The sequence below is a fragment of the Homo sapiens genome, chromosome 1, assembly GCF_000001405.40.
Source record: "Homo sapiens chromosome 1, GRCh38.p14 Primary Assembly".
Classification (NCBI taxonomy): domain Eukaryota; kingdom Metazoa; phylum Chordata; class Mammalia; order Primates; family Hominidae; genus Homo; species Homo sapiens.
Window position 1 is genome coordinate 10,240,742 of NC_000001.11, and position 26,365 is coordinate 10,267,106.

The following is a 26,365-nucleotide window of genomic DNA, read 5'->3' on the forward strand; positions in this document are numbered from 1 at the left end:
TGGTAGAGACAGAGTTCTCACTTTGTTGCCCAGGCTGGTCTTGAATTCCTGGCCCCAAGTAATCCTCCTACCTTGGCTTCCTAAAATGCTGGTATTACAAGTGTGAACCACCACACCTGGCCCTCATTTCTTAAATATTCCTCAAGAACATGATTTCAGTAGCTGCTTAATATTGTATTCTATTTATGAACCATACTTCATTTATATTCATCCTCTGTTATCAGACACTTGAGCCTTAGGTTCTTCATTTATTGAGTGGAAATATTGCTGATGCCTTCCCAGTCTGCTGTCTCAGGTTGTGAGGATCAAATGAAATCATGTATACTATATAGCATACTATTTTAAAAATTATGTAAGTTGTTCTTGTGGTTAGTTTTGTGTGTGTGTGTGAGACGAGGTCTTGCTCTGTTGCGCAGACTGAATACAGTGGCACAATCATGACCCACTGCAGCCTCAACCTCCTGGGGCCAAGTGATCCGCCTACCTCACTCCCCTAGTAGCTGGGGCTACAGCCACCACACCCAGCTAATTTTTAATTTTTTTGGAGCGATGGAGTCTCACTATATTGCCCAGGCTGGTCTTGAACTCCTGGGCTGAAGGGATCCTCCTGCCTCAGCCTCCCAAAGTGCTAGGATTACACGCATGAGCCACCATGCCAAGCCTGTGGTTAGTTTTAGTGTCTAAATTTTCAGTGGGAATATAAGTTTAAAGGCAGAAATAACTGAACCTATCACTAAGTTGGAGGCAGTTTTTGCTATTGTGTATTCGGAGTTTCTTTTTATTACATGATATAATTTAATAAGCTTCTTTACCTAAATAAATATTTTTCACATCAAAATGGCTAAGAGAAGTACTGGAAAAAATCATCTTGGTGGAAACGTCCTCTTTCTTTGTGCTTTGCATGTTGTTGTTGTAGTCTTTGAGATTGTCATAATTAAAATCCAAAGTAAACTTTGTGCTGCCTTTATATATGCATTTGTTGGTTTCTCATAGGAGAAAGCAACCATGCCCAATTTTTTTTTTAATGCCTTCTTTGCAACTCTCAAGAGGTGTTTTGGAGTTCATTTTTAAAAGTCTAGCCAATATCGTGGTGGTGATTGCTTTTGGTAGTTGCCTAGTGAAGTGCGAAGTGGTGTAATGGCAGCTAGCAAAGTCTGGAATGCAGTTCACAAGACCGTGAAAGGGATGCTACTTCTGTCTCTATGTCAGACAAAGTGGGCATTCATAGTTCAGTTTTCGGTAGTACCTGTTTATCAAGGAATGTGCATTGTATAGGTGAAAGCTGTTCTTAGTTGTGGTGTTTAGGGATGAATGCCTTGTACATACATACAGGTGATAAGAATAAGAAATACGAAGTTAGGTTTTTGAGAGCACCTATAGGAAATTAGGTTTTTGTTATTCAGCAAGCCTAGGTGTCAAAGCTTTCAGAGAGATTTTAGCATTGTCTTAGATAGAGATAAATAATCAAAGCAATGTGATGACTATTAGGAGAGCACCGAGAAAGGGCGTCTAAATACAGTCATGCGTTGAGAAATGTGTCGGTAGGTGATTTTGTTGTGCAAACAGCATGGAGTGTACTTACACAAACCTACAGGGCGTAGCCTACTCCATACGTAGGCTCTGTGGTATAGCCTGTTGCTCCTAGGCTGTAAACCTGAATGGCATGTTACTGTACTGAATACTGTAGGAAATTGTAAGACATTGGTGGTATTTGTGGATCTAAACATATCTAACCATAGAAAGGGTACAAATATGATAGTAACAATACGATATTATTAATATAATCTTTTTTTTAGACGGAGTCTTGCCCTGTCACCCAGGCTGGAGTGCAATGGTGCAATCTTGGCTCGCTGCAACCTCCGCCTCCTGGGTTCAAACAATTCTCCTGCCTAAGCCTCCCAAGTAGCTGGGATTACAGATGCCCACCACCATGCCCAGCTAATTTTTGTATTTTTAGTAGTGACAGGGTTTCACCATGTTGGCCAGGCTGGTCTCAAACTCCTGACCTCGTGATCTGCCCGCCTCAGCCTCCCAAAGTGCTGGGATTACAGGCGTGAACCACTGCGCCTGGCCTATTAATATAATCTTATGGGACCACTCATATATGTGGACCTTCATGTATGCAGCCCGCTGATGGACAGGTTGTTATGTGGTGCATGACTTGTAATTGAGAAGGATGGCAGGGAAAGGTAGGTAATGTCTGAGAAGCCCTTTTGGTTTTGGCTTACCAGAAAACTGTGGGGCCGGAAGTATCAGAAGCAACACAGTGAGGAAATGATTTAACTAAACTTACTCTTTCCACACCACATTGTTCCGGTCTGTTACTGACACGTGTTCCTTTAGCTGTGAATAAACTTGAGGAGGCAAAATGGGAGATTTTACAATTCCTTTTAGGCCAGGTGTGGTGGCTCACGCCTGTAATCCCTGCACTTTGGGAGGCTGAGGCGGGTGAATCACTTGAGCTCAGGAGTTCGAGACCAGACTGGCCAACATGGTGAAGCCCCGTCTCTACTAAAAATACAAAAAAATTAGCTGGGCCTAGTGGCACATGCCTGTGATCCTAGCTACTCGGGAGGCTGAGGTGGGAAGAACGCTTAAACCTGGGAGGCAGAGGTTGCAGTGAGCCAAGTTCGTGCCACTGCACTCCAGCCTGGGTGACAGAACAAGACTGCGTCTCAAAAAACAATTGCCTTTTAGTGGGGGGAAAAAATACCATAATTAGTAATTAAAAACAACAAACGCTTAAGTTGTGCCAGGCACAATTAGGCAGATTTTAACTTACTGAATCCTTGCAATAATTATATGGCAGGTACTCTTTCCCCATTTCACAGATGAAGGAATTGATACAAAGAGGTATTATTGGCTGTCTTGCCTGGGCTCACATATCTATTAATTGAGGGAAGTAGAAAATGAAGTTGGGCTGTCTCCAGAACCCTTACTATTGGAGAGCATATCACCTCTCACAATATTTATTAAGTTTTACTATTCTGTGCAGTAATGCTGAATGTCTATGCTTAATTTGAATTTAACTTAGATTAAAATTTATTTTGATTTATTTTCTTGATGGAGGGAAATTATGAGGAAAAAGCTGCGGGGAAGGGGCAGATGATTATCAGTTTACATGTCTTTGGGCATTTTAGGTAGAGTGAAATCTAGGCCTTGCAAATCATATCTCTTTAGAATCATTCAAAATTTGCTTAGGAAGAGCAGAATTGTTGATTGTTTATTCAATGTGTATGCTAAGTAACATGTTTTATAGAAGAGTTATAATTTTTTTCCTATTTTCCTATTGTATATTTGTTTTTTAATACTCTGGGATCAAGTATACAGTGAATATGTATAGTACATTTATCCCTGTTTTATAAAAAAATGGGAAACTAAATTTGTTGTAAATGATTAAGGAACTTTATGATTATAGATCTTTTGCTCAAATCTTTATGGCAATAGGTTTTACTATGTTTCTATATTGTGAGGAGGGGAGCGAGTTGCCTGTGGGTTTTGGTTTTATGGTTTTAAAATATAAGCAGTGTATAAAATATTTTTATTGTGTGCCATTTTTCTTTTTTTTCTTTTCTTTTTTTTTTTTTTTTGAGATGGAGTTTCGCTCTTGTTGCCCAGGCTGGAGTGCAATGGCCCGATCTCGGCTCACCGCAACCTCCGCCTCCCAGGTTCAAGCAATTCTCCTGCCTCAGCCTACCAAGTAGCTAGGCTTACAGGCATGCACTACTACGCCCGGCTAATTTTTGTATTTTTAGTAGAGACAGGGTTTCCCCATCTTGAGGCTGGTCTCGAACTTCTGACCTCAGGTGATCCGCCCGCCTCAGCCTCCCAAAGTGCTGGGATTACAGGCCTGAGCCACCGCGCCCGGCCCTCCTTTTTTTTTTTTTTTGAGACGGAGTCTTGCTCTGTCGCCCAGGCTGGAGTGCAGTGGCGTGATCTCTGCTCACTGCAAGCTCCGCCTCCCGGGTTCACGCCATTCTCCTGCCTCGGCCTCCCGAGTAGCTGGGACTACAGGCGCCCACCACCACGCCTGGCTAATTTTTTGTATTTTTAGTAGAGACGGGGTTTCACTGTTTTAGCCAGGATGGTCTCAATCTCCTGACTTCGTGATCCGCCCGCCTCGGCCTCCCAAAGGACTGGGATTACAGGCATGAGCCACCGCGCCCGGCCGCCATTTTTCTTAATTGTTGCTCTAGGAGGCTTTTAGAGCGGAAGATTGTGCTGAAGATGTCACTGGGATTTTTAACAAGCCCTAAACGTGCTTGGTTACTAAAGTTAATATAAAGTTACAGTGTTGCCACACAGATAACATCAATTATAGTTGCAGGCAAAATCTTTAGTAGTTTGCCAACAACAGTATAATTACTAGACACTGAGATATTAGATAAATTTATTCTGGGGAATTAAAAGGCGTTTAAATACTAATCTTGTTTTGACTGCCTTATTTTCTAGGGCTCAGTAATTAAAGTGTTATTTCTGCATCTTTATGCTAAAGTAGCAAAGTTGTGAATAAGGCAGGGAGAAAAGGGGGTAAAATTAGGGAATTTAGTAGACTGTCTTAAGTCTTAACTTGAAACTTCTTCAAGAAAGAGAAGATGGTCAGTTGTGGTTCATCAGTAAACTAAGACCTTTGAAACATTTTGTGATAGTCATTTTGATAGCATTTACGTTTATCTTGGATAAAAGTCTTCAAGTCAGCCTTTATGGAAATTATAGTGTCCTGCCCTTCTCCAGCTCTCCTAAGGTTAGTGTTGGCTACACCATTAGGAATAAAAAACCTGAAGACAAAAGGGAAAAGATACAAAAGTTGTATGGAGAGGATAAAGGAAGGATCATTTTTCCTTTGGACTTGGAAAAAAATACATTTAGGTCTTAGATGTTAAAGCTGCCTTTTAGATTTATGAAGGAAAATTTAGGAAAACAGCCTTGAAACCTCATGGGATTTGGATGGTAACCAAGAGGCAAGGCCTGGAGGTGAGAGTGAGCAGAGCAAGTTATTGGGGAAATCAGGAGATAGCCTGAACTCATTCTTCTAGAGAGTCCTGTAAGTGGTTATGATGATAATCATTGTAATAAAGGTAGGGAATATAACGTGACTGACTACTTCAAACAGTTCATTTTCTTGGCTCTTAGTACCCCATACTCTCCTAATTGCCTTCCTTCCTCCCAGGTTGGTTATTCTTTACCTCCTTCGGTTAAAGTCCACCAGGCTTTTGTCCTCAGATCTCTCTCTCCAGAAAAGAGAGACGCCCTAGATGATTTCTTCTAGTTCTGGGGGCTTAAATGTCATTGAGATGGTGATAACTCCCAGATTCACTTCTGTAGCCTGGACCTCTCTCTAGAAGTATAGACTTGGCTACCCAGCTGCCAACTGAACTCTACTTGAAGGCCACAGAAGCATCTCAAACTCAACATGTCCTAAACATAACTATTGTTTTTTCCCTTCCTGACCACCCAGAGTGGCTCCTCCTTTATTTTTATCAATTCTTTTAGTTGCCTAGACCAAAAATATTGGAGTCATTCTTACCTTCTCCGTTTTTCTCATAGGCCACATATATCAATCAGTAAGTCTTGCCATCTTTGCCTTCACAATATATCCTGAATCAGTTACTTTTTGCCATTTCTACTCTAGTCAAGATAAGTACTGCAATAGCCTCCTGTCTCTCTGCTTTTGCCCTTGTTTCCATGCAGTAGCCAGTCATATTTTAGAAATATACATCAGGGCTGGGTGTGGTGGCTCACGCCTGTAATCCCAGCACTTTGGGAGGCCGAGGTGGGCGGATCACGAGGTCAAGAGTTGGAGACCAGCCTGGCCAACGTGGTGAAACCCCGTCTCTACTAAAAATACAGAAATTAGCCGGGCATGGTGGTGCACGCCCATAGTCCCAGCTACTCAGGAAGCCGAGGCAGGAGGATCGCTTGAACCTGGGAGGCGAAGTTTGCAGTGAGCTGAGATCGTGCCACTGCACTCTAGCCTGCTGGGCGACAGAGTGAGACTCTGTCTCAAAGAAAAAAAAGAAATATAAATCAGATTATGTCACCCCTTTGCAATCAGATCATGTCACCCCTCTGCTTAAAATTCTTCACTGGTTTCCTGTCACATTTATTTCATTTTAATGTAATTTTAAATTTTTTTTGTAGTCAGAGTCAGAGCCTCTGTCGCCCAGGCTGGAGTGCAGTGGCATGATCTAGTCACACTTGCAGCCTCTGCCTCCCAGGTTCAAGCTGTTCTCGTGTCTCAGCCTCCCAAATAGCTGGGACTACAGGTGCGTGCTACCACACCCAGCTAATTTTTGTATTTTTAGTAGAGACAGGGTTTTGCCATGTTGGCCAGGCTGGTATCGAACTCCTGAGCTCAAGCAATATGTCCACCTAGGCCTCCCAAAGTGCTAGGATTACAGGTGTGAACCACTGCGACCAGTCCTTATCACTTTTAGAATAAAACTAAAAATCCTCACTTTGGCCACACAGCCTCACAGAATTTGGCCTCTGGCTAGCTATCTGATTTCACATTTGATCATTGTTTGCCCACCTGGCTATACTGCTGGTCTTGCTGTTCCTTAAATTTCATTCAGATTCCTGCTCAGATATCTCCTCAGAGGTGGCAGCTTGTTTGCTTTTATCTAAAATAGCCACTTCTACCACTTTCACTGTGATCTTTTATCTCCTAACCCGGCTTTATTTTTCTTTCCAACATTATGCTATTTGTATTAGTTAATTGTCTCATGCTGTCATTAGAATGTAAGCTCCATGTAGGCAGGGACTTGTTTTCACTAGGTATCTATAGGTCATGGTAGACATGCAAGTATTTGTTAAATGAAAGAATATTTTGTACATTTACTTTATGCTAGGCCTTGAGCCAAAATGTGAGAATTAAATGACAGTTCTGTATAGTTAGGCACTATTATTAATATGCCCATATTACAGATAAGAAAATTAAAAATTAAGGCTTACAGAGTTTATTACATGCTTATAGATGGACCTAGGGTAATGTTGGATACTTAGAGTGGGATCACATTAAAGCCTCTACAGCAGTGGTCCCCAACCTTTTTGGCACCAGGGACCGGTTTTGTGGAAGATAATTTTTCCACAGACGGGGGTGGAAGTGTATGGTTTCGGGATGAAACCGTTCCATCTCAGATCATCAGACATTAGTTAGATTCTCATAAGGAGCGGGCAACCTAGATCCCTCACATGTGCAGTTCACAATAGGATTCATGCTGGTATGAGAATCTGATGCCGCCACTGATCTGACAGATGCTCGCCTGTTGCTCACCTCCTCCTGTGTGGCCTGGTTCCTAATAGGCCATGGACAGTACCGGTCTCTGGCCCAGGGGTGGGGCCCCCTGCTCTACAGCATTCTACTTCATCGGTAAAATCTTTGAAAATGTCTTCTAGAAATATTTTTAAGGTCACTTTACCTTTTGATCATTGAATATTGGGTCAATTTTGTTGTTGTTGTTGTTGTTGTTGAGACAGGGTCTCGTTATGTTGCCCAGGCTGGATGGAGTGTGGTGGTGCAGTAACGGCTCACTGTAGCTTCAACTTCCTGGGTGCAAATGATCTTTCTGCCTCAGCTTCCTGAATAACTGGGACTACAGGCGCACGCTACCATACTTGGCTAATTTTTTGTATTTTTAGTAGAGATAAGACCTCATTATGTTGCCCAGGCTGGTCTCAAACTCCTGGGCTCAAGTGATCCTCCTACCTCAGCCTCCCAAAGTGCTGAGATTACAAGTGTGAGCTACTGTGCTCAGCTGACATAATCTTTTGATGTATGAATGGACCCATCTCTCTTGCTGCCCCTGCAACACCAGATACTGGGACTCATCGATTTCTGATGATGAAAGATGTCGTTCTCATGGGAGTCTTTATGTTATACAAATGGAGAGCAAAGTTCCCAAACATGCTGCCGTGGTTGATGTGTTCTGTCATCTGGTAATAACTGGAGTTATTACAGTCATCCAAGTGAGAGAAGTGGTGGTTGAACCAGGGTGGTCACGATGGTGGTGGGGAGAAGCCATATTTGGAAAGTAGAACTGATAGGATACATCAGATGTGGAGGATGAAAGAAAAAAGCCAAAGATGGCTCCCAGATCATCTGTGGAATGTTGCTTGTAGGGTCCAGGTCTGGAGTATGCTGTGTGTCCAGAGCAACCTAGATTGAAGAAAAGACCTCAGGCACAGAAGCTGTAAAAGAGGCCTTGAAAAGCAGCTTGAAAAGGTGGATTATAGGAAGTAAAACAATATGAAGTCTATAATACTTTTAAAAGAGTTATTTTCTGACACTAGTCCTCAAAAATATTCCTGGAGTCCATTCTTTGCAGGAAAAGTGGCGACTTGTCCTAGACAAAGCCTACGTGCTGATTCCATGTGACCCTGGGGGTGGGTACTAAATTCGTAACAGCTTGTGGGTGAAAATATGGTTTATATGTTGAATGTGTTCCTTAATTACTGTAATTCTGTTTTTATGTGCATGGTTTCTGTGAAACAAATTAGAAGTCCAACACACTATTTTAGCTCAGTTGACCTTGATACAAGAACTGCTGTGTTAATTATGCCCAGTCTTTCAGTAGTACAATCCTCTTTTTTTTTTCTGTGAATGTTAGTAAAATCTACTGGTATTTTATGTATATATTGCACAGCTATACACTGTTTTTCTTTTTATGCTCTTGAAAATGGAATTTAATCAGAGTTGTACATGACACATGGAGGGCATTCATTTGAGTCCTTGGTATAGGGCAGTATAGAGGATCCATAAGACATGGTCCAAGCACTTTGAGGATATATGATGTTGGGGGAGCATCAGAGATTTGTTGACACATTTAAGTAAGGACTTGAATGTCGTACTTTGACTGTTGGCAAGAAATAGGCTCTTGGCTGGGTCCAGTGGCCCACACTTGTAATCCTAGCACTTTGGGAGGCCAAAACAGGAGAATTGCTTCAGCCCAGGAGTTCGAGACCAGCTGGAGCAACCTAGGGAGACCCTGTCTCTACAAAAAAATAAACAAATTAGCCGTGCATGGTGGCACGTGCCTGTGGTCCCAGTCACTCAGGAGGCTGAGGTGGGAGGATCACTTGAGCCCAGGAGGCTGAGGATGCGTGAGCTGTAATCTCACCACTGCACTCCAGCCTAGGGCGACAGAGCAAGACCCTGTCTCTAAAAGAGAAAAGAAACAGAATTCTTACATTGTGCTTTAGTTTATCAGTTAGTGAACTTTTCTTTTTTTGTTGTTGCTTTTTATTTTTTGTGGAGATGGGGTCTCACTATGTTGCCCAGGCTAGTCTCGAACGCGTAGGCTCAGATGATCCTCCCACCTTGGCCTCCTAAAGTGTTGAGATTACAGGCATGAGCCACTGAACCTGGGCCTGGTGTGTTTTTCTTACCTTGGTTTAAAGATCAAATGGAATATTATCATACCTACTGAATATTGAGAGTTTAAAACAGGGTAAAATACGTATTTAAGAAAAATTAACGTATGTGTAAGTGTTTCACTCCTTTAATTCTGTAAACTAGGTATTACCTCAATTTTAGAGACGACACAGACGTGCAGTCATACCCAAGGTCGTAAAAAACACCTAAATACAGTATTTCTTAACTTTTTTTTTTTTTTTGAAACGGAGCCTCGCTCTGTTGCCCAGGGTGGGGTGCAGTGGTGCAATCTCAGGTCATTGCAACCTCTGCCTTCTGGTTTCAAGCAGATCTCTTGCCTCAGCCTCCCAAGTAGCTGGGGTTACAGGTGCCCACCACCACGCCCAGCTAATTTTTGTAAATACAGTATTTTTAAATTGTTCTTTCATATGTTTAGAATATTAAGCCAGGCATGGTAGCCCATGACTTTGGGAGGGCAAGGAAAGAGGATTGCTTGAGCCAAGAGTCTCAGTCCAGCCTAGGCAACATGGCAAAGCCCCATCTCTGCAAAAAAAATTAAAATTTGGCTTGGCATGGTAGTGCACACCTATAGGCCCAATTACTTGGGAGGCAGAGGTGAGAGGTTCACTTGAGCCCAGGAGTTGCAGGCTGCAGTAAGCCATGATTGAGCCACTGTACTCCAGCCTGGGTGACAGACCGTGACGCTGTCTGGGGAAAACAAATGGATTAGTTGTTGATAGAAGCAGTTATTCTAAAAGCAGCTTGGGGGCGGGTGCAGTGGCTCACACGTGTAATCCTAGCAATTTGGGATGCCGAGGCGGGTGGATCACCTGAGGTAAGGATCCTGTTCAAGGCCAGCCTGGCCAACATGGTGAAACCCTGTCTCTAGTAAAATACAAAAATCAGCCAGGCATGATGGCGGGTGCCTGTAATCCTAGCTACTGGGGAGGCTGAGACAGGAGAATCGCTTGAACCTAGGAGACAGCGGTTGCAGTGAGCCGAGATCGTGCCACTGCACTCCAGCCTGGGCAGCTGAGCTAGACTGTCTCAAAAAAATAAATAAATAAAATAAAAGCAGCTTGGTTTTGAAGATATAAGTTAGGAAAATCTATTAGTTTCAGAAGCTTTAAAAGTCTGGGAGAAAGGAATATTGAAGAAGAGGAAAAGGATTTCATGTGAATTGAGGAAGTTAACTCATTGGTGTAGTTTTTCCTTTCTTTTTTTTTTTTTTTACTAAGGAAAAGAGAACAAAGCGATAAAATCTGAGTAGTCTTTCAGTCATTCTTGGTAGAATTGGTAGCTAAAAGGCTGAGTGAAATATGGCTTAAAAGCTTTATTGGCTGGGCGCGGTGGCTCACCCCTGTAATCCCAGCACTTTGGGTGGCTTAGGTGGGTGGATAACCTGAGGTCAGGAGTTTGAGAACAGCCTGACCAACATGGTGAAACCCTGTCTCTACTAGACATACAAAATTAGCCAGGTGTGGTGATGCATGCCTGTAATCCTAGATACGTGGCAGGCTGAGGCAGGAGAATTACTTGAACCCAGGAGGCGGAGGTTGCAGTGAGCTGAGATCCTACCATTGCACTCCAGCCTGGGCAACAAGAGCAAAACTCCGTCTCAAAAAAAAAAAAGCTTTATCATTTATTTTTTGGCCCTGTCTTATGGTGCAGAGGCTTAAAAGTTTTTTGACAGCAAATTTTCTAGAGGCTAGGAGTGTTTATTATAACCATGTTTTTGAGCGGTGAGGACTACCTCAGAGGGCATGCCTTGTGTCATCATTGTTCTTATTGCTGAGCTACCGAAACCTAGAATCTGACTCACACAATATGACACTTATTTCCGTTTTCTTGGTAGAGTTTGTGTGGTCATTCATCTTTTAGATCTTTTAGAAACTACAGTCCTCCTAGTTCCCACTTTTATATTTATTTATTTATTTATTTTTGAGATGGAGTCTTGCTCTGTTGCCCAGGCTGGAGTGCAGTGGTGCAATCTCGGCTCACTGCAACCTCTGCCTCCCAGGTTCAAGCAATTCTCCCGCCTCAGCCTCCCAAGTAGCTGGGATTACAGGTGCGTGCCACCATGCCTCGCTAACTTTTGTATTTTTTGTAGAGACGGGGTTTCACCACGTTGGCCAGGCTGGTCGCAAACTCCTGACCTCAAGTGATCAACCCCCCTCAGCCTCCCAAAGTGCTGGGATTACAGGCGTGAGTGACCGTGCCCAGCCATCAGTTCCCACTTTTAAATGAGAGGTTCTTTGTTTTTGTGGGGTTTTTGTTGTTGTTGTTGTTGTTGTTGTTGTTGCTGTTGTTACTTGAGACAGGGTCTTAGTCTGTCATCCAGGATGGAGTGCAGTGGCACAATCTTGGCTAACTGCAGCCTGGACCTCCCTGGGCTCAGGTGATCTTCCTACCTAAGCCCCCTGAGTAGCTGGGAGTGCAGGCACACACCACCATGCCTAGCTAACTTTTGTATTTTTTGTGGAGATGAGATTTCACCATGTTGCCCAGGCTGGTCTCAAATTCCTGTACTCCAGCGATCCTCCTGCCTGAGCTTCCCAAAGTGCTGGGATTATAAGTGTGAGTCACCGAGCCAGGTCATAAAGACAGTTTTTTTTTGTTTTGAGATGGAGTTTTGCTCTTTTGTACCCAGGCTGGAGTACAGTGGTGTGATCTTGGCTCACTGCAACCTCCACCTCTCGGGTTCAAGCAATTCTCCTGTCTTACTTAGCCTCCCGAGTAGCTGGGATTACAGGCGTGCCCCACCACGCTGCACTGATTTTTTATATTTTTAACAGAGATGGGGTTTCACCATGTTGGACAGGCTGGTCTGCAACTCCTGACCTCAGGTGATCTGCCCACCTCAGCCTCCCAAAGTACTGGGATTACAGATGTGAGCCACTGTGCCTGGCCAATAAAGAGAATTTTAAACAATGCCTACAGTGTGATTTTAGTGGGGTGGCCACATACATGTAGGTGTGCACATGTATTTCCATGAAAATGCCTTCCTGCCTTTAGCCTTGACAATGCTGCATATAGGGAATAAGCATTTAAATGATGGTGTCTGGGCTAAGAGTGTGAACTCTGGAGCCAAACCCTCCAAAATTGCATCCTGAATCTGCCACTAGCTAGCTCTGGAGCCATGAATAACTTATTTAACCTCTCTGTGATGGTTTATCTATCTGTAAAATGGGGGTAATGAAACATCTGGCTCATTGAGTGCTTGGGAGCATCAAATAGGTTAGTAGGTCTGGTGTGGTGGCTCACACCTGTAATCCCAGCACTTTGGGAAGCTGAGGCATGAGGATGGCTTGAGCCCAGGAGTTTGAGACCAGCCTGGGCAACATAGTGAGACTCCCATCTCTACAAAAAAGAAAAATAATTAGCCGGGTGTAGTGGCATGAACCTGTGGTCCCATCTACTCCAGAGGCTGAGGTGGGAGGATCACTGGAGCCCAGGAGGTTGAGTCTGTAGTGAATTGTGGTTGTACCACTGTACTCCAGTCTGGGCCTCAGAGTTAGATCCTGTCTCAGGAAAAAAAAAGGTTCGTAGACAGAAAGTACTTATGGCTCAGAGTAAGTGTTCTGTGAATGTTGGCTGTTTTTTAAATCTTGCATTTAATTCCTCTTTGGTTAGAAGTATACTTCTTTGCTTGGATTACCATTTGCATGTGGAGAGATGTTCCTTCTAGAACCATGTCTCCTTGTCACATGATTATGTACAGTGTGAGCTTTATTAATACTCTGTCAGCATTTGAGGTTGGAACATAAATGCGTGGCTGTACCCAGTGGAATCCAGCAAGAGAGAGAACTAAGCACCGTAGCAACTGTTGCTATTTGTGTACTGAGCAACAGCTGTGCGAGACAGATTTATTTTTTAATCCTGATCTCACTGATAGCCTGGGATGTGGCCTTGCCACATCTCAAAGGAGTAGATTGGTTGAGATATCCAGTCTTTGAGGAGATTTCATGACCACATGCCATAAAGATTCTGTTTCATTTCAAATATGAGGAGCTAAAGCTTTGTGTGTATGAGTGAGGGAGAAAGATTAAGCTTTAAAGCATTCATAGTCAGTCCCTGAAATATAGTGTGACTGGATTAATGACATGATAAATCACTTTTAATGTGGGTGGTGAGACTTCATGCATTTCAGTCAAAAAAGTAATTTTGCTGTAATGTGGTTCATTTCCAAATTTTGGCTGCTAACTTACCTAGGATGGATAAACATTATCACAGAGTATTTACTGAGCATCTACTTTATACCAGGGTCTTTTCTGAATACTGGTAACATGCAGTTAATTACACTCCAAAATGACTTAGTCTGTGATTCCACTATATACTACATTACATAAATACACACACACTAATCATTTACATACTTGTCAACCTTAGATTTCAGAAATAACACTGTATTTGTAATGAATGCTTCATTACCAAATGCTTTTCTGAAGTACATAGTAAGATCTTTAAAAAGAGCTTTCATGGCCAGGCGCGGTGGCTCACGCTTGTAATCCCAGCACTTTGGGAGGCCGAGGCGGGTGGATCACAAGGTCAGGAGATCAAGACCATCCTGGCTAACACGGTGAAACCCCGTCTCTACTAAAAATACAAAAAAATTAGCTGGGCGTGGTGGCGGGCGCCTGTAGTCCTAGCTACTCAGGAGGCTGAGGCAGGAGAATGGCGTGAACCTGGGAGGTGGAGCTTGCAGTGAGCCGAGATCGTGCCACTCCCCTTCAGCTAGGGCGACAGAGGGAGACTCTGTCTCAAAAAAAAAAAAAAAAAAAAAAAAGCTGCTTTCAAATAGTGGTTGGATTCATTCAATAACTTTCTAATTTTCATTTCTCTTTTTTTTCTTGAGATGAAGTCTTACTCTGTCACCCAGGCTGGAGTGCAGTGCATTAATATCAGCTCAGTGCAACCTCTGCCTCCCGGGTTCAAGTGATTCTCCTGCCTCAACCTCCCCAGTAGCTGGGATTATAGGCACACACCACTATTTCTGGCTAATTTTTGTGTTTTTGGTAGAGATGGGGTTTCACCATGTTCGCCAGGCTAGTCTCGAATTCCTGACCTCAAGTGATACACCTGCCTTGGCCTCCCAAAGTGCTGGGATTACAAGTGGGAGCCACCGCGCCCAGCTCCATTTCTGATGTGTTCCAATATTTCAGGGCTTAACGGGTGCCTTGAAATAGTAATGTGGGCCAGGTGCAGTGGCTCACGCCTGTAATCCCAGCAGTTAGGGAGGCGGAGATGCGCAGATCACCTGAGGTCAGGAGTTCGAGACCAGCCTGGCCAACATGGTGAAACCCTGTCTCTACTAAAAATAAAAAAATTAGCCAGTTGTAGTGGTGGATGCCAGTAATCCCAGCTACTCAGGAGGCTGAGGCGGGAGAATTTCTTGAACCCGGGATGAGGTGGTTGCAGTGAGCCGAGATCACACCACTGCACTCCAGCTTGGGGAATAGAGCAAGACTCTGTCTTCAAAAAGAAAAGAAATAGAAATGTCGTTCATTTCCAAATTTTGGCTGGTAACTTACCTAAGGAGGATAAACATTGTCACAGAATATTTACTGAGCATCTACTTTATACCAGGGTCTGTTCTGAATACTGGTAACACGCAGTTAATGCTGTTGGTCTGGTTTTTCATGTTCCATGTATAAATTACCTCTTAAAACTATGATTGTTTTCATTCATTCATTCATTTTTGAGATCGGGTCTCAAAATAGGCTGGGGTGCAGTGGCTCGATAACAGCTAACTACATCCTCAAACCTCCAGGCTCAAGCCATCCTCCGACCTCAGCTTCCTAAGTAGCTGGGACTGCAGGCATGTGCCACCATGCCCAGCTAGTTGTTGTTGTTTTTTTTTTTTTTGGTATTTGTTGTAGAGACAGGGTTTCACCATGTTGCCCAGGGTGGTCTTGAACTCCTGACCTCTAGTGATCCACCCAGCTCGGACTCTCAAAATGCTGAAATTACAGGCATGAGCCACTGAGCCCAGCCTATTAATTTTTGATTGCCCTATTCAGATTTAGTGGTATGAATTTACTGATTGGGATGTTTTGAACACACAGAATAACATGTTTAACTAAAGAACTTGTAATTGAGTGACTTATAAAATGAAACATTTTTATCTTCTAGGTATTATTAACCCAAAGAATCCAAAGGAAGCTCCAAAGTCCTTCAGCTTCGACTATTCCTACTGGTCTCATACCTCAGTGAGTACCCTCATGCCACAGCACTGCCAGCTCCTGCCTCCTTTCCTCTTTCCTTGCCGATTTGTCTTTTCTCTTAGCTGAGCAGATCCAAGTTTTGCTTCTTAACTGTTGTGTAGCATGAGTTCATTCTTTGATACAGTGATATAGTATTTTCATTCATAAAGTATTTGGGTTGATGGAAAGTTTATGTACACATATACATAAATATATACACATATATACATACAGAACATATTTAGTTTACACCAAATTTATACTGAATGTACACTAAATTTATACTGATTTAGACATTTCTTGAGGATTTATTTATCAGTATCTTAGGATCCTCATTACCAACATTATTGCCCATTGATCTTAGGAAATGCCAAATAATAATAATAATTATTATTATTATTATTTTTCTTCTGAGACGGAGTCTCACTCTGTCGCCCAGGCTGGAGTACAGTGGTGCCATCTTGGCTCACTGCAACCTCCGCCTCCGAGGTTCAAGCGATTCTCCCGCCTCAGCCTCCCGAGTAGCTGGGATTACAGGCGCGTGGCACTATGCCCAGCTAATTTTTGTATTTTTAGTAGAGACAGGATTTGACCATGTTGGCCAGGCTGGTCTCGAGCTTCTGACCTTAAGTGATCCACCTGTGTTTGCCTCCCAAAGTGCTGGGATTACAGGTGTGAGCCACTGTGCCTGGCTGGAAATGCCAAATTAAAATTGCTTAGGGTACTGTTAATTTTAAGTTGAATTTTGAGGGAATGGCCAGCAAGATTGGAATGACCACAGAGAAATTGTTTTTTTTTTGTTTGTTTGTTTGTTTTTGGCTAGGCTGATCTTGAACTCCTGACCTCCTGATCCACCTGCCTCGACCTCTCAAAGTGTTGGGATTAAAGGAGTGAGCCACCGTGCCTGGCCAATTTTTTTTTTTTAATTGTAGTAGAGCAATGTGGGTTCTGAACATTTTGAAAGATGATACCGTGCCTCTACTAAAAATTCCAAAAAAAAAAAAAAATTAGGTGGGCTTGGTGGCGGGTGCCTGTAATCCCAGCTACTTGGGAGGCTGAGGCAGGTGAACTGCTTGAACCCAGGGAGGTGGAGGTTGCAGTGAGCCGAGATCGCACCACTGCACTCCAGCCTGGGTGATGGAACATGACTGTGTCTCAAAAAAAAAAAAAGGAAAGAGGCTGCAGATCCACAAGGGAAACAAAAGATTACCAGTATTACGAAAATGCAGAGTAGGGCCCTTCCTGGTACCCTTACTCAGTGTGGAACCCCAAATGTTGCTGCTTCTTAGGGATTGTTCATAGAGTTTACTTCTGCATCATTCATCTCTTTGTTACATGTTTTTGGTTTTGTTTTTCCTGTTTTGTATTTTTTTTTAAAGACTGAGTCTCGCTCTGTTGCCTAGGCTGGAGTGCAGTGGCATGATCTCAGCTCACTGCAACCTACACCTCCTGGGTTCAAGCAGTTCTCCTGCTTCAGCCTCCTGAGTATCTGAGATTACAGGCAGGTGCCACCACACCCGGCTGATTTTTTTAATTTTTAGTAGAGATGGGGTTTCGCTGTGTTGGCCAGGCTGGTCTCGAATTCCTATCCTCAAGTGATCTGCCCGCCTTGGCCTCCCAGAGTGATGGGATTATAGGCATGAGCCACTGTGCCCTGCCCTGGGGAATCGATGTTTTAAACTATTGACAAAGCCTAATTGTCAAGGGAAGGGACTGAGAAGGGGATTGGAAATGCTGTTTCCTGAAAGCTGTGTTTATTGAGAAATAGTCCCAGTAGCTGGAGTGAGTTCAAAGAAGTATTTTTATATGTGGACTTGACCTTTGGTCTTTTATTCTCATTTTCCACTTAAGAAAATCTTGGCTGTGTGAATGAAAGAGTGATACTTTTAAGGTTATAGAAAGTGAAATGTAATCATGCCAGATAATTTTATATAGATATTTTTATGTATGGCTGACCTGGATGACTCTAACAGTGCATGTGTTTGTGAGTGTGTGTGTGTGCATGTGCGTGTATTTAATGAGAAAAGTAAACTTGTGTATAGGAGGCTTAAAAAATGTGTAGGGAATTTTAGGTGACTGTTCTGATTCCAGACACTTTTATTATGGAAGCAATCAAGTAAGTATAGGAAGAAATATTAATAAAAGGTTATTTATTTCTCCTTTTACTCTTTACAGCCCGAAGATCCCTGTTTTGCATCTCAAAACCGTGTGTACAATGACATTGGCAAGGAAATGCTCTTACACGCCTTTGAGGGATATAATGTCTGTATTTTTGCCTATGGGCAGACTGGTGCTGGAAAATCTTATACAATGATGGGTAAACAAGAAGAAAGCCAGGCTGGCATCATTCCACAGGTGAAAAACAAAACAAAACAAAAATCTTCTCTTCATTATTAGTGTTAGTCTTAAATTGCTTTAACAGTTATTTTTATTTGGCGAACATTTATGCGGGGATTGTTTTATGTCAGGCACAAAGATGAACAACCCATTATTTTCCCTCAGAGGAGCTCACAATTGAATGGGAAGGATTGACATGTACACATGTCTGTCATTAAAGGTGGGAAAGTCAGTGTTTTGTAATGATTTTGCCATATATCCAATGCCATATTATTTTGTCATTTGAAAAGTGTTACCAGCTTGTTAAAGCTCTGTTCTAAGTCCTGGAGATGGGGGGATATTGTTGATCTGATTTTTTTTCAAATTCCATGCATAGATTACCTCTGAAGAATGTGATTATTTTTGGTTTTTTTGATAGCCTTATTCGGAGATACTTTCATTTTATTTTCCTAATTTAATACTATGACTTTAAACTTCAAACACTCTGAGATTCTCCCTCTTTTTTTTTTTTTTTAGAACAGTTAGTATTATTGGGTTTGATCCTTTATTGTTTGGGAATGAAGAAGCGTTCTGACATAGATATTTATTTATTTTTATTTTCATTATTCGTTTCACTTAGGATTTAATGGTGAAAGACATAAGTATTTAAAAAGAACTTCATTATTTACTTATTTATTTGAGACAGGGTCTCACTCTGTTGCCCATGCTGGAGTGCAGTGGTGTGATCTTGGCTCACTGAGGCCTTGTCCTCCCAGGCTCAAGTGATCCTCCTGCCTTAGCCTCCAGAGTAGCTGGGACTAAAGCCATGTGCCACCACACCTAGCTCATTTTTAAATTAAAAAAAAAAAAAATTTTTTTTTTTTTTTGAGGTGGAGTCTCTCTCTGTTGCCCAGGCTGGAGTGCAATGGCGCCATCTTGGCTCACTGCAACCTCCGCCTCCTGGGTTCAAGTGATTCTCCTGCCTCAGCCTCCCAAGTAGCTGGGACAATAGGCACCCACCACTATGCCTGGCTAATTTTTGTATTTTTAGTAGAGGCGGGGTTTCACCATGTTGGTCCTGGTCTGGATCTCCTGACCTCAGGCAATCCGCCCACCTCCGCCTCCCAAAGTGCAGGGATTGCAGGCATGAGTCACCATGCCCGGCCTTTAAAATTTTTTTTTTAGAGACAGGGTCTCACCATGTTGTCCAGGCTGGTCTCGAATGGACCTGGGCTCCATCCTGGGCTTGGGATGATCTGCCTGCCTCGACTTCCAGAAGTACTGGGATTACAGGCATGAGCCACTGTGCGGGGCCTAAAAACTTAAGAAAAAAAAAAGATTAAGTGAGAAGATTGTATTTAAAATTTTCCTTTTATAGTCATGCATCACTTAAGGGTGGGGGTACATTTTGAGAAATGCATCATTAGTCGTTAGGTGCTTTTGTCATTGTACAGATATCATAGAGTGTACTTACACAAACCCTGGAAGGTGTAAACTGCTCCACACCTAGACTGCGTTGTATAGCCTGTTGCTCCAAGGCTATAAACTTGTGTAGCATGCTACTGTACTGAATACTACAGGCAATTATAATAGGATGGTAAGTATTTGTATATCTAAACATAGAAAAGTACATTAAAAATATGATATAAAAGATTTGAAATGGCACACCTGCATAGTGCTCTTACACTGGAGCTTGCAGGGCTGGAAGTTGCTCTGGGTGAGTCAGTGAGCAAGTGGTGAGTAAATGTGAAGGCCTAGGACATTGCTTTGCAGTATTGTAGACTTTATAAATGCTGCACACTTAGGCTACACTAAATTTAGTTTTAAAAACAGTTTCCTTTCAATAATTAACCTTAGTTAAATTACTATAACTTTTTTACTTTATAAACTTTAAAATTTTTTAAACTTTCTGATCCTTTTATAATAACCTTTAGTTTAAAACACAAACAGCCCCAGCATGGTGGCTCATGCCTGTAATCCCATCACTTTGGGAGGCCAAGGCGGGTGGATCACTGGAGGTCAGGAGTTCGAGACCAGCCTGACCAACATGGTGAAACCCCGTGTCTACTAAAAATACAAAAAAATGAGCCAGGCATGGTGGCGCATGCCTGTAATCCCAGCTACTTGGGAGGCTGAGGCAGGAGAATTGCTTGAACCCAGGAGACGGAGGTTGCAGTGAGCTGAGATCGCGCCATTGCACTCTAGCATGAGCAACAAGAGTGAAACTCGGTCTCAAAAAAAAAAAAAAGAAACCACACACACACTTTGTACAGCTGTACAAAAATATTTTCTTTCTTCATATCTTTATTCTATAAGCTTTTTTGTATTTTTTAATTTTTTTTTTCTTTCTTGAGACAGAGTCTTGCTTTGTCACCCAGGCTGGAGTACAGTGGCGCCCTATCAGCTCACTGCAACCTCCGCCTCCTGGGTTCAATTAATTCTTGTGCCTTAGCCTCCTGAGTAGCTGGGACTACAGGCACGTACCACCACGTCTGGCTAATTTTTGTATTTTTAGTAGAGACGGGGTTTCACAATGTTGGCCAGGCTGGTCTTGAACTCCTGGCCTCAAGTGATCTGCCTGCCTTGGCCTCCCAAAGTGCTGAGATTTACAGGCGTGAGCCACTGCACCTGGCCAAATTTTTTTTTTTTTTTTTTAGACAGAGTTTCACTCCTCTTGCCCAGGCTGGAATGCAGTGGCACGATCTTGGCTCACTGCAACCTCCGCCTCCTGGGTTCAAGCGATTCTCCTGCCTCAGCCTCCAGAATAGCTGGGACTATTTTTGTATTTTTAGTAGAGATGGGGTTTCACCATGTTGGCCAAGATGTTCTCGATCTCCTGACCTTGTGATCTGCCTGCCTCGTCCTCCCAAAGTGCTGGGATTACAGGCATGAGCCACCTTGCCCAGCCCAAATTTTTAATTTTTGAAAAAAAATTTAAACTTTTTTGTTAAAAACTTAGGCACACATTTATTAGCCTAGGCCTACACAGGGTCAGGATCATCAAGATATCACTAGGTGACAGGAATTTTCCAGCTTTCTTATAATCTTATGGGGATCACTATCATATATGCAGTCCATCGTTGACCGAATCATGGTTATGCAGCGCATGACTGACTTTATTCAAAGCATTAATCGTATCTTGATGTTTATGACATAATATATTTTGAGATGGAGCAAGAAAGGACGTCTGGCTAATTCATTGAGCACGCGTGGATGACTTAGTACTCCTCTCATTTGTGCTCTTCATGCCTCTCTCATTCTACTTCCCTAGTTATGTGAAGAACTTTTTGAGAAAATCAATGACAACTGTAATGAAGAAATGTCTTACTCTGTAGAGGTGAGTACAGCCGTGAGTTGACACCGTAAGCCCTTGTTTTCCATTCTCTCAAGCATCACTTAAATGGCTCCAAATTATGACTGTGGTACACATCACTTCACCATTCCTTCATTTTTGTCCTTTCAGGCTATTTCTGGGTTTTGGGTATAATGAATAGTGTCCTGCTTTAATCTTTTTTTTGGGGGGTGCGCGGTGGGGACAGGGTCTCACTCTGTTGCCCAGGCCCTGGAGTGCAGTGGCGTGATCACAGCTCACTGCAGCCTTGACCTTCTGGGCCAAAGCGATCTTACCCCCTCAGCTTCTCAAGTAGCTGGGACAACAGGTGTGTGCCACCACCACCCCTAGATAATTGATTTTTTTGTAGAGATGGAGTTTCCCTATGTTGCCCAGGTTGGTGTTGAACTCTTGGGCTCAAGCAATCTTGCCTCCTCCACCTCTGAAAGTGCTGGGGTTGCAGTGTGAATCACTGAGCCCAGCCACAATTAAATCTTTGTTCATAAGTCTGTGCATTTATTTGCAGTTATTATCTTTTGTATGTTTCTTGGTTTTTAAATAATACATTTGAATTGCCAAATGCCTTTTTGGAAAGTAATGCTGGGTAACAGTTTTCAGTCACACTAGGAGGGTGTAAGCACCCATTGTGCCCTTGCCAACATTTTTCTATTTTTTAATCTTTGCTAATTTGATAATGTAAGTATTCTCTTACTTAAATTTTGAATTTCTTTGATTACTAGTATGGTTGAACGTCTTGTAAATTATGCATATGCCTGTTTACATTTTGGGTTCACAATGTCTTTCTGATTCATTTGTGGGAACTCTTCTCCTTTAATATTGTTAATAATGGTTTTTGACAGGCATTGGTTTTAAATATATATAATCAAATCTCCCCCTTTCCCACTTTTTTAATTGCTTATAAAAACTTGGAAAGTAATTATCCATCCTGTGTTTACCCTGGCTCTTTCATGAAGTCTATAGAATTACTTTATACACATTTGCTTATTTGATAAACATTCTCTCTGTTTTGTATGTGCTTAAAGAAGCTGTTTTGGGGCTCATACCTGTAATCCCAGCACTTCGGGAGGCGAATGGATCACTTGAGGCCAGGAGTTTGAGACCAGCGTGGCCAACCTGGCAAAACCCTGTCTCTACTAAAAACACAAAAAATTAGCCGGCTGTGGTGGTGCACACCTGTAATCCCAGCTACTCGGGAGGCTGAGGCACGAGAATCGCTTGAACCCAGGAGGCAGAGGTTACAGTGAGCCGAGATCATGCCAGTGCACCCCAGCCTGGAGTCTGTCTCAAAAAAAAAATAATAATAATAAATAAATAAAAAGAAGAAGCTGCTGTTTCTTTCTCTTCCTCCCTCTCTCTCTCACCGCCACCCCCCCACCACACCCTTTTTTGGTATTCACTTTCATAGTAACTGAAATTATTAAAGTGTTCTGTTACCATGAGTCTGTTTTGAAAAAATAGGCTGCCTTTTAAGCGATCTTGAGATTTTTTTTCTTTTCTTTTTGGTATTTGTTCTGATTCTCTGTAGCCTTACAGCATTTCATTCCTAGTTAATTCATTTAATTGCTTTGGAGTTTTTTCTTCACCTAGAAGGTGTTGCATAAATATGTAAATTCTAAGGAATTCTGTCTTGTGACTGTCATACACCAAAAAGAGAATGTGCTGCCCTAAGCATATTTTGCGTTAAAATGAATTTTCTGAATAGCTTGTCCCATAGTTATTCTTTTTTGAATCAGGTGATAGAATTTTTGAGCTTACAGGTAATAAAAGAAGATGCCCTTTTCTTTTGTATTAGAGTTTCCAGGCTTAACTTGGAGTGGAGCATAGATTCCTAGTTGACACTGTGGTTTCTTGCCACATTTGCAGGACCTCTCTACCTGTCTCTTCTACTTCCTTCCCTGTTTACTCTGCTCCACCCATATTGCCTTTTTTCCTGTTTCAAGAACATACCAGAAACATTCCTGCTTCAAGGCCTCTACATTTACTTCTCCTCTTGCCTGAAATGTTGTTCACTTGGATGTCATTTTGACTAAGTTTCTCACGTTCTTCAAGTCTGCATAAATCACACACTCTCAGTGAGGCTTACCTTGACCACCTTATTTAATATTGTATCTTGCCCTTTACCCCACATCCTGAGCTCTCTTCCCCATTCTATTTTCTTTTTTCCATCATACTCATCATGTTCTAACATGCTTTCTCAGTTACCTATTTTTTATGTTTGTTGTTTATTATCAGTATCCCTTGCTAGAAGCATAAGCTCACTGGGGCAGGGTTCTTTGTCTGCTTTATTTAGTGGTGTATACCAATTGCCTAGAACAGTGCCTGTAAGAGAACGGTCCTCAGTGAGTTGGATCTGCCAGGTGGCATCTGGAGTGGTTGGTGCAGAAGTAAAAGAAATGATGATGGCTTTGGATGGATTCACATATCAGAGCATAAGGAATGGAGCACATGAACTTTTACCTAGATTATTTGGGTTCTCTTTGTCTCACATTTGTGTGAAAAGGTACGAGTGTTCCAAAAGATGTAATATATTCCGGGGATTCAGTATTGTATGTACAAATTTAAGTACACAGCAATGATTGAAGAATCATCTCACTTTCTAGGATGACTTGCTGTCAGAAAGAATATTTGTTGTTCTGTTACTTTACTCTCATAATAGATTAATTACTTTATCTTTCAGAGTTGTCTTTTTTTTTGGAGACAGAGTCTCACTCTGTCACCCAGGCTGGAGTGCAGCGGCGCGGTCTCGGCTCACTTCAACCTCCGCCTCCCAGGTTCAAGCAATTCTCCTGCCTCAGCCTCCCGAGAGGCTGGGATTACAGGCTCCTGCTACCACACCTGGCTAATTTTCTGTATTTTTAGTAGACACAGGGTTTCACCATGTTGGCCAGGCTGGTCTCGAACTCCTGACCTCATGATCCACCCGCCTTGGCCTCCCAAAGGGCTGGGATTATAGGCGTGAGCCACTGCGCCCGGCCTTTTTTTCTTTTTCTTCTTTTTTTTTAAGACAAGGTCTTGCTCTGTTACCCAGACTGGAGTGCAGTGGTGCAAACAGGGTTCGCTGCAGCCTTGACCTCCTGGGCTCAGTGATCGTCCTGCCTCAGCCTCCTGAGTAATTTGCACCACAGGCATGTGCCACAGTGTGTGGCTCCCAAAGTGCTAAGATTACAGGCATGAGCTACTGCATCTGGCCAAGTTCTTAATTTTTTAAAATGGATTTTATTTATTTATTTATTTATTTATTTATTTATTTATTTATTTATTTATTTTTAGAGACAGGATCTCACTGTCACCCAGGCTGGAGTGCAGTGGCGTGATCTCAGCTCACTGCATCCCCAACCTCCTGGGCTTGAGTGATCTTCCCACCTCAGCCTCCCGAGTAGCTGGGAACACAGGCACACACTACCATGCCTGGCTAATTCTTTGTATTTTTGGTAGAAGTGGGGTTTTACCATGTTACCCAGGTTGGTCTCGAATTCCTGAGCTCAAGCAATCTGCCCACCTTGACCTCCCAAAGAGTGGGGATTCCAGGCATGAGCCACCATGCCCAGCCTTTAACTGATTTTAAAACACAAATTAAGGCCAGGTGCGGTGGCTCACACCTGTAATCCCTGCACTTTGGGAGGCCAAGATGGGAGGATTGCTTGAGCCCAGGAGTTCAAGACCAGCCTGGGCAACGTGGTGAGACCCTGTCTCTGCAAAAAAAAATTTTTTTTAATTAGCTAGGCATGGTGGCACGTGCCTGTAGTCCCAGTTACTCCAGAGGCTGAGGCAGGAGGATTGCTTAAGCCCAGGAAGTCGAGGCTGCAGTGAGCCATGTTTGAGCCACTGCACTCCAGCCTGGGTGACAGAGTAAGATACAGTCTCAAAAAATATATAAAAATAAAATACAGTATAAAAATACAGTTAGAGACTGAATGAAAGAAAAAGGCAATAGAAATGGAATTAAGATTCCATTCCAGATACTCTGAAAACATGTCCATAGACATTTAAAGTTTAAAAATGCAGGAGCTGTAATGTAAGCTTGAATAGCTCCATGATACAGAAGGATCTGTTTCCTGGGTAGCATCGTAATGTGGCCTATTGTGATGAATTTACCCTAGTTCAGAGCCTTGTTTGCTTAGAAGTCTGATTTTGTAGATTCATCAAGAAAAGGACTATCCTTACAAGTTAAGACTTGAGTAAAGCTCATTTGACTGATGTTATGAAACCAACTTGTTGGTTTGTTACTTTACCATGAGAAATAACTATTACTAAGGCTAGAACACTCAAGCCATTCGCAAGACTATTTAATATATTTCTGTGGACAGACCTCGCTGTTGGAAGCCTGTTGGTTGTTTGGTGTGCATGGAATTAGAAGGAGAGGAGTTGCTTAGATACATGTTTAATTGCCCCAGGTTAAGAAATGATAGCTTAATGCATTAATCACCATGATCGAATGGTCCTGCCAATGAGACAAGAATTTATGAAGTGTATTGTCTGAGGCTTCTTTCTCCCTCACAAATCTTGGATAGGTCCTGCCACCACCAGCTTTCATGCTGGTCAACCCTCATCCCTTCTGGAGGATACATCGTCCATAGTTAGTAACAGTGTGGTGAGCCTTAAAGAATTAGCATCACCCGTCTGTTTTGTCTTCTCTGCTCTGTAATATTGATATTGTTCCTTGGTTTTAACTCTAATAGAAATCTTATTTCCGAGTTCTTGGAGTAACCTCAATGCAAATCCCAGTTACTGACAACAGTATACATTTTAAAAAACATTGATAACTGATAAATTGCTACTAAAATATCTTTTAGCTGTCACTACATTCCAGAGATAATCTGTTTACCTCTCCCTTACAGAGAAAGTCTGAAGGCTGGTTCTAACCTATTCAGTGTAATTACCTGTGCGTATTGTTAATAGAATAAAAGGGCCTAGAGTTACGGCATTTCACTTTGTAAAGGTTGCTGATCTCTAATCTTAGAGCTTTTAATAAAAGTTAAAAAAATTTTTTTTCTGTATGTGATTTCTTTTGTTTTCTTTTTCTTTCTTTCTTTCTTTCTTTTTTTTTATTAAGACAGAGCCTCACTCTGTCACCGAGGCTGAAGTGCAGGGGTGTGATATCGGCTCACTCTAACCTCCACC

At 42.4% G+C, this 26,365-nt stretch overlaps 1 protein-coding gene across 5 annotated transcripts in view, besides 3 other annotated features; it reads left to right on the plus strand.

Moving 5' to 3' along the window:
- KIF1B (kinesin family member 1B) overlaps window positions 1–26,365 on the plus strand; it is a 171,034-nt gene that overhangs the window by 30,172 nt on the left and 114,497 nt on the right. For all 5 annotated transcript variants that reach the window (NM_001365951.3, NM_183416.4, NM_015074.3 and 2 more), the window contains exons 3-5: window positions 15,506–15,582; window positions 17,752–17,931; window positions 21,164–21,229. In NM_001365951.3, coding sequence (NP_001352880.1) covers window positions 15,506–15,582; window positions 17,752–17,931; window positions 21,164–21,229 — 323 coding nt within the window. The remainder of the gene's footprint in view (window positions 1–15,505; window positions 15,583–17,751; window positions 17,932–21,163; window positions 21,230–26,365) is intronic.
- Window positions 3,378–3,879: an enhancer, noted in NCBI's record as "H3K4me1 hESC enhancer chr1:10304177-10304678 (GRCh37/hg19 assembly coordinates)". NCBI's record gives its function as "activates a minimal SCP1, AML or CMV promoter by ChIP-STARR-seq in naive H9 embryonic stem cells {active_cell/tissue: H9 hESC(naive)}" and the evidence as "EXISTENCE:reporter gene assay evidence [ECO:0000049][PMID:30033119]".
- Window positions 3,880–4,379: an enhancer, noted in NCBI's record as "H3K4me1 hESC enhancer chr1:10304679-10305178 (GRCh37/hg19 assembly coordinates)". NCBI's record gives its function as "activates a minimal SCP1, AML or CMV promoter by ChIP-STARR-seq in naive H9 embryonic stem cells {active_cell/tissue: H9 hESC(naive)}" and the evidence as "EXISTENCE:reporter gene assay evidence [ECO:0000049][PMID:30033119]".
- Window positions 21,076–21,276: a silencer, noted in NCBI's record as "peak65 fragment used in MPRA reporter construct". NCBI's record gives its function as "represses an SCP1 promoter by STARR-seq MPRAs in K562 erythroleukemia cells {active_cell/tissue: K562}" and the evidence as "EXISTENCE:reporter gene assay evidence [ECO:0000049][PMID:32103011]".